This window comes from Homo sapiens, chromosome 2 (assembly GCF_000001405.40).
Source record: "Homo sapiens chromosome 2, GRCh38.p14 Primary Assembly".
NCBI lineage: Eukaryota > Metazoa > Chordata > Mammalia > Primates > Hominidae > Homo > Homo sapiens.
Window position 1 is genome coordinate 207,919,679 of NC_000002.12, and position 13,647 is coordinate 207,933,325.

The 13,647-nt window shown below is 42.0% G+C and overlaps 1 protein-coding gene across 8 annotated transcripts in view; it reads right to left on the reverse strand.

The window, feature by feature from the left end:
- PLEKHM3 (pleckstrin homology domain containing M3) overlaps nucleotides 1–13,647 on the reverse strand; it is a 204,240-nt gene that overhangs the window by 98,391 nt on the left and 92,202 nt on the right. For all 8 annotated transcript variants that reach the window (XM_017004073.2, XM_005246545.4, NM_001080475.3 and 5 more), the window contains one exon: nucleotides 11,248–11,441. In XM_017004073.2, the coding sequence (XP_016859562.1) occupies nucleotides 11,248–11,441 (194 nt within the window). The remainder of the gene's footprint in view (nucleotides 1–11,247; nucleotides 11,442–13,647) is intronic.

Genomic DNA, 13,647 nt, shown 5'->3' on the forward strand with positions numbered 1-13,647 from the left:
TGTGAGTGGGCGTGGGTGGGAATACTAGGAGCTAAGTTTTGGACATATTAAGGTTAAGACGTTATTAGACAGCCAAAGAACATTTCAACCTTTGGACTCAGCCTCAGCTACAGTGAACTCACTAGAAAGATAGTTATTTTCTGGCATAACAAGGGAAGGAGGGGGAAGGCAGTCTTGTTAAATCAAGTGACATTGATGGGGACTGGTCTAAGAGCAGAGTAAGCTGCTAAATTTTGCTTGAAGGAAGGGGAAGCAATGAGAGTCTGTCAGGACAGACACACACACACACGCACACACACATTTTTTTCTGGTATTCACCAGGACAGTTTTAATAAAAGTGGCAATCTTTATAATAGAAATTTCTCACCATTCGGTAAAACTGATATTTCAGTGGGAACTCCTGCTGGATATAATCATAATTTGAAATAAAATGTGACACCAAAGATAGGAAGAGATGGCTTAGAAGGTAGAAGAATCACTTTGGGTATTCTCTTGAGCCTCTCAAGCCAAGCCATTAAATTGCTTCGGAATGGTCTAAGTCAAGGACTAAACCTGACAAACATGTAGGAGCAAATGCTCCCTGAGAACACAATTCTGTTCTAAGCAACCAGGGAAAGAGGCCTAATATTGCCTACTGCCCTTGACTAGTGCTGGAGAGAGACGAGTTTTACATTTATACCGTAATGGGCTATGGATTTGCCAGGCACCCCAAGCCCCCAAATCACATTTTTGATGATTGAGAATGGGAAATACTGAAGCATCCACAGAAATTTCCCAGGAGTGGATTTCACTTCAGCACTCAGAAGAGAAAATATGACTTGAACTGGGATTTCTGAAAAGCTAGTCCAAACAGCTGGTGTCAGTCTGCTGATGTTTTTAGCAGTCCAAAGTAAAATGAGAGAAAAAAAAATGTAGAATGATTTCTAAATCTACTTGATTTTAAAAAGCTGTTTGATTTCTAAAGCAGTTTGCCTATTTTTTTTTTTTTTTTAGTATTACTATGTTCTTACGTGAAATGATGGTGAGAAATAGAGGGTAATGTTTTTATTTCTGTTTTGGCTAAAGATATTTACAAGGCAACCCTATAGTTAACTTCGTATTTTTGTTTTAAGTTTACAGGTCTGGGACATAGGAGGGTCTGGCAAATGCTGACCTGGAGTAAATGCATTTGCTAGCACTAACCCAATTGTCATGCCTGGTTCTCCACGGCTGATCAAGCTTGCCAACGAGCACAGGAGTGCCCGTCTCAGCAATCCGCCTCCCTGTTCAAGGGACACCACTGTCTGCCACCTCCCTGCCTTCCTTTACACTCTCAGAGTGTAGCATCTTAGAGTCATAGTTCCATTCCTTCCCTCCCTCCCTCCTTCCCTCCCTTCCTTCCTACTTTTTTTGATGTTGTCTCGCTCTGTTGCCAGGCTGGAGTGCAGTGGCACTATCTTGGCTCACTGCAAGTTCCGCCTCCTGGGTTCAAGTGATTCTCCTGCCTCAGCCTCTTGAGTAGCTGGGACTACAGGTGCACGCTACCACACCCAGCTAATTTTTGTATTTTTCGCAGAGACGGGGTTTCACCATGTTGGCCAGGATGTTCTCAATCTCTTGACCTCGCAATCTGCCTGCCTCAGCCTCCCAAAGTGCTGGGATTACAGGCGTGAGCCACTGCACCTGGCCTCTCTTCTTTTAAAAAAATTATTATTAAATATTTTTAATGGACATATAATGATATGTATTGATAGAGTACAATGTACTAGTTCAGTACATTATACAATGTATAATAATCAAATCAGGGTAATTAGCACATCTATCATCTCAAACATTTATCATTTCTTTATGGTGGGAACATTCAAAATGCACTTTTCTAGCTATCTGAAAATATACAACAAATTATTATTAACTATATTCACCCTACAGTGCTATAGAATGCCAGAACCTATTTCTCTAACTGTAATTTGTATTTGTTAACCCAACCTCTCCCTAACCCTCTCATCCCTCTACCCTTCCCCACCTCTAGTGACCATTGTTCTACTCTCTACTTCTATGTGATCCACTTTTTCAGTTCCTGCATATGAATGAGAACATGGAGTATTTGTCTCTCTGTGCTTGGCTTATTCACTTAACATAACATTGTATAGGCTCATCCATATTGCTGTGAATGACAGGATTTCACTCTTTTTTATGGCTGAATGGTACTTCATTGTGTATATTTACCACATTTTCTTTGTCCATTTGATGGACACTTCCACAGTGACTAGTGGGATCTCCATAAATAAGGGGAGCAGATATCCATTTGACATAATGATTTCCTTTCTTTTGGCTATACACCCAGTAGTAGGATTGCTGGATCATATGGTAGCTCTATTTTTAGTTTTTTGAGGAAGCTCCATGCTCTTTTCCATAGAGTCTGTACTAATTTACATTCCCACCAACAGTTTATAAGAGTTCTCTTTTCTCCACATCCTTGCTGGTGGTTGTTATTTTCTATCTTTTTGATAATAGCCATTCTAACTGGGGTGAGATGATATCTCCTTGTGGTTTTGATTTGCATTTCCCTGATGTTTAGTGATGCTTTCTCTTCTTTCTAAATACCATCTGCCCTACCTATCTAAAAGGGCTGCTGTAAAGAACAAATAATATATTTAAGGGGAAGTACTTTGTGACTAATGAAATCATAATTATCTTTATATACAGTAAACTATTCTACACATAATTACTATTATTAACAAGCTTTTATTGCACCACTAGCATGTGTGGTCTTCTATTTTAGGTTTTGAGGACAATCATGGCCTTTAAGGGCCTTCTGATCTAGCCAGCAAGAGAGGATATATACATAAGGAGATGAAAACCATCCAAGCCCTGGCCAGGCGCGGTGGCTCACGCCTGTAATCCCAGCACTTTGGGAGGCCGAGGCGGGCGGATCACGAGGTCAGGAGATCGAGACCATCCTGGCTAACACGGTGAAAACCTGTCTCTACTAAAAATACAAAAAATTAGCTGGGCGTGGTGGCGGGCGCCTGTAGTCCCAGTTACTCGGGAGGCTGAGGCAGGAGAATGGTGTGAACCCGGGAGGCAGAACTCGCAGTGAGCAGAGATCGTGCCACTGCACTCCAGCCTGGGCAACAGAGAGAGACTCCGTCTCAAAAAAAAAAAAAGAAGACCATCCAAGCCCTTAAGTGCCAAATGCGTGGTCCAGATGATCACTGCTGGAAGAAACCAGAGAAGGGATCAGCTACTGAGGACAGGTGGGAAGAGGCAGCACTTGAGTTGGCTTTAAAGTAAGAGAAGCCAAGTCAAGTCGAGTCAAGAGGACTGGGAGGCAGCTGGTGTCAAGGAAATGAGTATGTCATTTTGGCTGGGCTGGGGTGGCTGTGGTCCATCAGGAACACAGTGGAAGATTCTGGCTCGTGGTGTGGTCCACACAGGAACCATGTGGAAGTTAAAGTTGTGCATGTAGGTCAGGGTCAGATGACAGAGAACCTTGAAAACCCATCCAAGGGTGTTGCGTTATCCTGTAGGTAGCCGAACTACTCACTGTCTAATAAGACCATTTTACAGTAGTACATATGTTAGAGGGACTGAGGAGGGGTGCCATGGGGAGGTAGGATCCCCAGCTAGAAAAGTATTAAAATGAAAAAAAAGAAAATTATTAAAATAGCTAGGTGCGGTGGCTCATGCCTGTAATCCCAGTACTTTGGGAGGCGGAGGCAGGAGGATCACCTGAGGTCGGGAGTTCAAGACCAGCCTGACAAACATGGAGAAACCCTGTCTCTACAAAAAACACAAAATTAGCTGGGCATGGTGGCACATGCCTGTAACCCCAGCTACTCGGGAGGCTGAGGCAGGAGGATCGCTTGAACCAGGGAGGTGGAGGTTGCGGTGAGCCGAGATGGCACCATTGCACTCCAGCCTGGGTGACAAGAGCGAAACTCTGTCTCACACACACACACGCTCATAAAAGAAAAGAAAATTATTGAAATAAGGTGATGAGAGTAGAGACAAGGGGGATGGCAATGGGAATGAAAAATAAGGGAAGAATTTGGCTCTTAGAGAACCTTAAAGCAAAACTTTTGGACTATGTCAAGGTTCAAACTAGGGGAAAATAAGGGAATAATGTCATGATTAACTGAAACATACCTGACCACATGGATATATATACATACATATACATACATACACACGCACGCACACACACACACACACACACACACATATATATATATATATATATATATATTTTTTTTTTTTTTTTTTTCTGAGGCGGAGTCTTGCTCTGCCTCCCAGGCTGGAGTGCAGTGGCGCAATCTGAGCTCATTGCAACCTCCGCCTCCCAGGTTCGAGCGATTCTGCCTCAGCCTTCCGAGTAGCTAGGACTACAGGTGCATGCCACCATGCCCTGCTAATTTTTGTATTTTTAGTAGAGACAGGTTTCACCATGTTGGCGAGGCTGGTCTTGAACTCCTGGCCTCAGGTGATCTGCCCACCTCGGCCTCCCAAAGTGCTGGGATTACAAGTGTGAGCTGCTGCGCCTGGCCCACATGGATATATTTTTCAGGGAAAAAATAATTTCAATTTGAAGTGGGGATGTCCAGTACGCAGCTGGACATAACAAACTAGTGAGTGATCTCCTCAAGGAAGAGTGCTGGGCCAAACGTTGTCACCTTATAGTCAGTGTCGATTTACAGAGGGACCATGACTCTCTCCCTGCAGATGACAACAAAGTGCCCTGATAAGGCCAGGTGTGGCAGCTCATGCCTGTAATCCCAGCACTTGGGGACGCCGAGGCAGGTGGATCACTTGAGGTCAGGAGTTCAAGACCAGCCTGGCCAACATGGTGAAACCTGTCTCTACTAAAAATACAAAAATTAGCCAGGTGTGGTGGCACATGCCTGTAATTCCCAGCTATTCAGGAGGCTGAGGCAGGAGAATTGCTTGAACCTGGGAGGTGGAGGTTGCAGTGAGCTGAGATCGCGCCACTGCACTCCAACCTGGGTGACAGAGAGAGACTCTGTCTCAAAACCAAACCAAAACAAACAAACAAAACAACAACAACAACAAAACCAAGTGCCCTGAGAAAGGGGCACCTTCTGCTAGCTCACATAAAGTTGCCCCATTGGCTCCTGTGAAGGCTGGAGGATTATGCAGAAGGGCAGCCGAGGTGTTGGGTATTCCTAGCATTAGGGAGCTGGAGGATGTGGAGGCATTGAGGGCAAGGAGAAGGGGGAGACTCGGACAGGACAGAGTGCAGAGAAGGACAGGGAGAAGGAGGTCTAGGAGAAATGGTGACCAACAATGCCCAGGAGGCCAAAGAAACAAGGGCCTCAGGAAGTCAAGGTGTCAGAGGAGAGTGCAATCCACAGCCAGCCTGCAAGGGGCCACGTCAGAAGTGAGTGGGCAAAAGGGAAATGGAGACAGTTCTGAGTGCTTAAGATGGGATCTTAGGTGGTAGTATGAACAGGGTTGTTTTTTTGTTTTTTGTTTTTTTTTTTTAGTGAGAGGGCAGGTAAAAAAATTAGAGAGTATGACATTAATTAAATATGCTAGAAGCAGGGAGGGAGGATTAAGGGGCATGGTCCCTGAGGGATCCGGGTAGATCGCTACTGATGGGCCAGAGTCCGCATCTCATAACTTCTACTGATCCTGTGTGCTCTGCACAGAAAGGTGTGGCAATTCCCTGAATCCCAGGCTCTTGGATGCCTCCAGGCTCATCTTCCTTTTGCCTCTTCTCCCCTGTTCACCTCCTGGCTCCTCCTGAATTATGATCTGCTTAAAATAAAAGTTATAGCAGCTAATATTTCCTGAGAGCTTGCTCTGTTCTGGGCATTAAATCCCTGAATCCTCGCACTTTCCTTATGAGGTGGTATTGTCTCCAGGTGAGAAAACTGGCTCTGAAAGCTAACAGAGACAGAAATGAGCTCTGAGCTCAGGCCGTCCAACTTAACGCAGAGTTTATAATAAACCACCTCCATTTGTGTCCTCACTTTTTTCTTTTTTCTCAGTTTGCCCCACCTGGGCTTGGTAACCCAGCTCTAATCTTCAGCTTTGTGGTGAGGCTGCTGCTCCAGGTAATGGTCCCTCCCTCAAATCACTGTACCGCAACTGCCTGAGGGGCGCATTGTAATGGCCTAGCCCAAGCCTTAGGACACCCCAACACATCTTCTGAGGAACTTTGAAGTCGACCTGGTGTTATTTCCTCTAGTTCTACAGGACTCTTCATGTCTGTCTTTTGAGAGAACCACATCTAGACATTCGGCATCCTTTGAGATGAACTTCCTGACCGAGTTACGGATCTAGTATCTGAGACATCGACAAACTCTGTTCTTAATATTTAATTACATGGCCTTGGGGTTAAAACCTCGAATGCCTAGGCCCAGGGAACCACCATAAACGAATTAAATGGGCTGGAGATGAGAAAAACAGGGCAGCAATGTGTTATATGCCAAGTGGCACTGGGTTTGGGGAGACAAACTAGAGCAGAAGAAGTTATGGCAAAGTGGCAAGTCAAGTGTCTAAAGCTGATCTCTGCTACACAGAATGAGGGAAGTTCTGTGTAATCAGAACTCATTTCCCAAGAGAAACCAGAAAGCTTCACTTTGTGTGTGCATGAAAACTCCTGATTTTTTTAAAGTTGGCAACTATTTCACAATTTCAAAACTTTGTGGGGCCATCCCTGTGAGGCCAAACAAAACATGTCTGCTGGCCAAATCTGGCCTTGAGGTGACACATTCTACCGTGCCTGTGTGTGACACATCCTGCTGTTCCTGTGTTCAGCAAGAGCTGAGGCTCTTCCTAGCAGTTCTTAACGTCCCTCCCAGAAATTTCCCTAACAGCTGCTGATCCGGATGTGTCCTGACATTGCCATGTATGCCCAGATTTTCCACAGAGTTCTTCATGCACCTTCATGTGTGGACACTGTAAATAATTCTTCTCATGAAAAGTTAACTAGACCTTGAACTAATTCAGCAGGACCGCCATCTGGGAGTCCTCAGAAACAGTGAATTGTCAGCACTGTAAACATTTTAAGCTTCGGGGAGGACACTGACTTTTTCTAAACTAATCACCCCTGCCAGTCAAGATGTGCAGTGTGGGTTCAAGAACAAGGCGTTCATTTAACAACAATAACAAAAACAGTGAGGATGAATACCGGACAGCCATCATAATGAAAGGCCTAAAAGCAAACTATGACTTCCCTAATAAGGCGACGGCCAAAGCTGGCTCCCTGGCGGTCGAGCGCTAATACAATTAATCAGTCTGTTTTCAGTTTTCTCACGACAGCAATATTAACAGTTTGCTTTATTCTGTTTATATGGTGCTGACAGGTCTTCGGCATGTTGCGCCTACTTGCTGGAGATTAATGGCCACTCTCATATTGAGGTAAAAACCAGGCAGGAAGAGAATGCCTTTTACGACTAGATAAGAACTGGATTCTCTTGCTTTTTTTTGTTCCCCATCAACTCCTCCCTCTTTCAGTTTCTATCAGGGATATATGAGATTAGTTAAGTCCAGCAAGTTCACCTCACTGTTTAAACTCCCCCACTTTAGATGTCGTATCCTCAGGTAAAACAAAGGGAGCCTTAAATATTGATTTTGGATAAACTCATTACATATAAAGGTATTGGTGACTAACTTTGTTTTTAAGAAGTCAGATTCAGCCTGGGCAACATGGTGAAAGCCCGTCTCTACTAAAAATACAAAAATTAGCCAGGTGTGGTGGCATAGGCCTGTAATCCCAGCCACTCAGGAGGCTGAGGCAGGAGAATCGCTTGAACCCAGGAGGCAGAGGCTGCAGTGAGCCGAGATCATGCCACTGCACTCCAGCCTGGGCGATAGAGTGAGACTCTGTCTCAAAAAAAAAAAAAAAAAAAAAGAAGTGTGGCTGGCTGGGTGTGGTGGCTCACACCTATAATCCCAGCACTTTGGGAGGCTGAGGCAGGCGGATCACCTGAGGTCAGGAGTTCGAGACCAGCCTGGCCAACATGGTGAAACCCCGTCTCTACTAAAAATACAAAAATTAGCCAGGCGTGGTGGCACATGCCTGTAATCCCAGCTACCCAGGAGGCTGAGGCAGGAGAATTGCTGGAACCTGGGAGGCAGAGGTTGCAGTGAGCCAAGATCGTGCCACTGCACTCCAGCCTGGGTGACAGAGCAAAACTCCGTCTCAAAAAGAAAAGAAAGTGTGGCCTGGCTGCAGGAAGTATGGACACCCTGGCAAAACTCTTGGAGATTATTTCACTAAATAGTCGTATTTCAGAATAAATCATCCCTGGTTGTTTAGTGGCTAGAAAAACAATTTTTTAATAATTACATTTTAATTAAATTTTTTAATAAAAAAGATTTAAAAAAAATTCAATAACATCCCCCCTCAACTTACCCCTTCCCTCAAAAGCCGTAAAAGTACTATTTGTTACTAGCACACTTTTCTCTGCCTCAGGTTTGAGAGAAATGGTAACCCTAAACAATATTTTAACAACATGTAAGTATAGGAAATCTAAAATAACAAAATTTAAAATAAAGCAGTGCTTCCTCAGTTTCTGTAGGAATCAATGTCTCATTGTTGGCTTGTAGGCAGACTGCTCCACCCATTTTATGAAACAGTCACATGGAGAAGCAAGCACTGTATAAGCAGAAACTACAGGCCTGGGCCCAGCTAGCTTTCCATCCACTCTCCCTTGCTCACTCCTTTCTTGACATAGCAGCAGGAAAAGAGGATTAATTCTAGTAGAGAAAATAACAGGTGGTGGCTTTTAAGTGGAATATTTTATCAAATATTTTTAAAGCCAGATATAAGAACAGTCTAGGATAAGAAAGTGATATTAATAACAATAATAGTATTTACTGTATGCTTAGTATGTCCAAGCACTGTTTTAAGCACTTCAGTTGTGTGAACTCATTTAATTCCCACAAGGGAATGCCTTGAGAGCAAAGTAATAATTTTTGCCGGAAGGGCAGGGTATTTGAGAGTAGAACAATATACTGGGTTAGACTTGGGCAGATCTTGAATTCTATACTTCTATTTTAAATAATTTATCTAATGCAAAGGTTGGATTGAAGAGGGAAGAAATGTTAGGCTAGTTAGAAGGACACGGCAATAGCCTTGAGATTCTCAACCAGGGTAGTGTATTAGAAGTAAAAAGGAGAGGAAAGATTTGAGAGTTATCTCAGAAACAGAACCATCTAAATTTTTTGGACTGATTTGACTGCTCTTTCACTCATTTTCTTATTCACTCAACAACTATTTTTGAGTGTTTTGGATGGGTCAGACATTGCGCTAAGTGAAAAATAGGAAGGTAAGAAAAAGAAGACTCTGAAGATGATTCCCTCCCCAAAACTGAGCTACTAGCTATTACTCAGTGGTCTGAAGTGACACTTAATATACATCCATCCCTCCTTCCATCTATCCATTCAGTACTTACTGAACACCTACCTTGTGCCAGGCATTGCATTATATAATGGTTATGAACAAGTCCAGGAAAGAAAAATATAGGGAAAAGGGAAAATGAAGGGGAAAAATGCTGTCTTCATTCTCATAGCTTTGGGAGTGCCTTGTTTCTAGAACTCCCATTTCTTTCCTGGTGGTCTGGCCATAAGGCACAGTACATGGTGGTAAACCACCAGACTGCTGGAATTGAGTAGAGATTCTTAGTCATCCATATGAGGAGAGGACCTTCTATTTAACTTCTAAATGTGTGCCCTGATTTGGCATATTTTAAGCAGAGCAAAACATTATACCATAAAGGTATCTAACATGATTCCTATGTAGAGATTTTAATATTGTCTAGAAATACAGGCACAAGAAAAATAAGCTCTGAGCAAAGCCAAAAGGTACTGAAAATAATAGAACATACTTTGAACATTAAAAATCTTGTATCTGGTTTAGTTGGTAAATTAGTTTGAGACATATAATTCTATTGCCTTCCAAGGAAAGCCCTGATCTTTTAAAATTAAGATCTGCCTAGACTTTATAAGAATAAATCCTGACCACTTTCTGTGCTTTCTGAAAAACAACTAGGTAATAGAATGACTACCACTGAGAAGTATTTTGCTTTATGGCAGCTGTCTTTTCATTATTATTTTATGAGAGCTTGTCTAGATATTATATATCCTTTACTATCTACATTTAGTTCTTTTTTAGATGCCCGGGGTTATGTCAGTTTCTTTGGATCTAATTGGATCTCAAAACTCCATCACTTCAATACTTTCCAAAAGTTCTTAGGCAGGTAGGCTTACCTCCAAAAACATTTAACATGACTAATGCATGCTGCTGGTCATTTCTATTAAAACAAAAAAATTAAAAGGTATTTTTAGAGACTTATGAACGCCATCAACAATTATTTCAAGTATAAGCTAGTTTGTATATGCCAAGGGTGAGACTTTAAATGCCTATAAAATCTGTCTGTAAAAAAGGAATTTTATGAGAGCAGGCACATTTTACTTTCAACTTTAAGGATCTGAGCCTGCTTTGGACTTGGTGTTCTATGAACTATGAGCTAACTAAGTTACGGGAAAGCAGCCTGCACCCACGGTAAGATGAAAAGGCAGAATCCTGGGCCTGTGCATTTTAATTATAGCTCTACTGCCTGCATCATTGACCAAGTTTGGGTATTTGTTTCTGTACAGAAAATAAGATTTGAGGCCCACACAGTGGCTCACACCTGTAATCCCAACACTTTGGGAGGCTGAGGCAGGAGGATCGCTTGAGTCCAGGATTTTTAAGACCAGCCTGGGCAACAGAATGAGTCTCTGTCTCTATTCTTTAAAAATAAAAATAAAAAAATAATAAATATATAAAATAAAATAAAATTTGAATAACCATTTACTTATTTCCCATTGAAAATGCTTTTTAGTTATGAACTATTTTAAACATGCTTATTTTTTGCTGATGAGAAACAGGAATTGAAATTGGGAAAAGTATAAAATACTACATAAGTGACCAATATAGATATTTCCATGATTATTATCTCAAATTAACATATTGGTAAGAGAAGCCTTCACCGTCCTGGGCACTCGATCCATGGGTGAAAGCCTTCAGTAACGGTGAATGTTATTTTCATTTTGCTTGGCTTAACCAAATGGGGACCTTGGAGTAAAAAAAGTAAAAAGATGAGCCCAGAGAGAGGCTGGCAGTGGAGAGGCGGAGGGCGAGCCACAAAATTAGAGGCGGTCCGTGCTGGAAAGGCCCTTTGGAGATAATCTCACCACCCTCCGTGGGCGGGAAAGAAAAACAAACGGGAGCCGTCTGAGATTTATGACTCTTACCTGCGGCGGAGATCCTCTGCCACCGCTGCCCGGCAGCTGAACAAATAGGCTCGGAGCGACTTCAGCCGCTGCCGCAGCCGCAGCACGGCGGCCAGCGGCTCTGCGTGGTGGTACAGCATGGCGTTCTCCTGCTGGATGTCGATGAGCGGCTCTTCGTACACGTACTCCAGAAACTCCTTGGCCTGCTTCGACACCTACAAAACAAGCGTCGTCAGTCAGTCCTGGAGAAGCACCTGGCTCTCCACACCTGCTCAAACTAGGAACCATAGCTGAAATATCAAAGGAACACGATTATTTTCTCAATACAGACAAATGAAAAAGTCTGTAGTTGAATTAAATGTAAATTTTGACTTCTCTCTCTTCCAGACATTCAACTGTAAGCTAGGAAGGAATTTATTAATTCTGTATCTTGACTGCAGTGGTGATTACAGGAACCTACACATGTGACAGAACGGCACAGTATGGTGCCGTTATACTGACTTATTATACCAATGTCAACTTGCTGTTTTTGTTTTTGATATTGGACCTTAGTTGCCTAAGATGTAGCCAAGGGAGGAAACTGTGAAAGGTACACAGAACCTCTCTGAATTGTCTATGCAATTTCCTGTGAATCCACAATTATTTCAAAATAAAAAAGGAATTAAGAAGACTGTTTTAACACAAATGCTGATTTTTAAAAACGTCATAAATTTATATGTGCATATATATGTATGAATATTCCATAACACTTTTGAAAAGTAGCCACTTAAAAAATAGGTAAATCAAGGCCGGGTGTGGTGGCTCATGCCTGTAATCACAGCACTTTGGGAGGCTGAGGCGGGCAGATCACTTGAGGTCAGGAATTTGAGACCAGCCTGGCCGACATGGCGAAACCCCGTCTCTACTAAAAATACAGAAATTAGCCAGGCGTGGTGGCACATGCCTGTAATCCCAGCTACTTGGGAGGTTAAGGCGGGAGAATTGCTTGAACTCAGAAGGCGGGGGTTGCAGTGTGCCCAGATCATGCCACTGCACTCCAGCCTGGGCAACAGAGCGAGACTCCATCTAACAAACAAACAAACAAATAAAAAGACTAAATCATGTACATATTACAACATTCAAAAAGGATAAAAGGATATTATTTGCAGAATAATCTGACTGACTAGCAAACAAGCTCAAATATACTGCTTCAGTGACCAGAAAGGAGTTGCTCTTATTACAACTTTGAACTTCAGCTAACTCCAGCCAATATATCCATCCAATTCTGTATTCACCTTGAGTGGTAATCCACGGTAATCCACAAGACTATGAAAGTTCATTTTATAATGTCATTGTCATCAGTAGAAACAAATAGTACATGGAAACACAATGTCTCAGAGATACAGAGGGAGTGGCTTAAATAATGCATAACATGAGGGTAATTTTTCAGAATCTCTACATACCAATCACTGACAGTGAGATGTAGATTGGCTACTAATACATAGAAAGTTGGCTCAGTTTCTATTTATGGAAGATAAAACCTCTCTAAAAACTTTCCATTAAAATCTCTCTAGGAGCAAGGTTAGAATTCAACATTAAAATAAACAAAAAACTTTGCTTATTAAAAAGAAAAAAAAATCTATGTTTCATATGGTAGGCTAGAAGTATATTAATAAAGATATATAGGATACAGTTCCTTCCCTCAAGTGGCTCACTGTGTAGTATGAGACAAGTATTTAAAACAAAACCACATGTAACATGCAGCATGTACCCTGTCATCTGCTACAAAAGAGGTATGGATGGGGCCCACTGGTAGCTTAGAGGAAGGAGAAATCAACTCTCCTGGTGGGGAGAGGGTTGGCAAAGCAGGTGGCACTTGGATCTGGGTGTAGAAGATAAACAGAAATTCACTTGGTGAACAAATGTGGGACAGAATAGAGTACAACAGGCAGAAACAAACATAAAAACCCCTCTGTATGTATATGTCATAATTAAATGTATGGCTATTATATGTTGATTATAAATTTCTCGTACATAAACATAAAATTCAATATGATCATTTTCTTATATTGCAAAGCTTATACCAAAGTTTATGTTCTTTATAGGAATGCAAAAAAATACATCATTTAAAAAATAAACTTCTAATTTTTTTCCTTATAAGCAATTATTTTTGAGGTACCTGTTGTGTTGTGTGATCCTATAGCATCCTGCAGAGTTAGAGTTACAGAATTAGAGAAGTTTACAGTCTCTGAAAATCACAAAAAGGCACCTAGAATTAGCCAAAATCTTCAACTATCTAACCAGATTGGAAATAACAGTTATTCCTCACTTTTATTTTTGAGGCATCTATTAATAGACACAGGTACATGCCAGATACTGTAGCAGGCATTAGGCATTCAGTGGAGAATAAAACAAACATGGCCCTGTCTTTAGGTATAATAG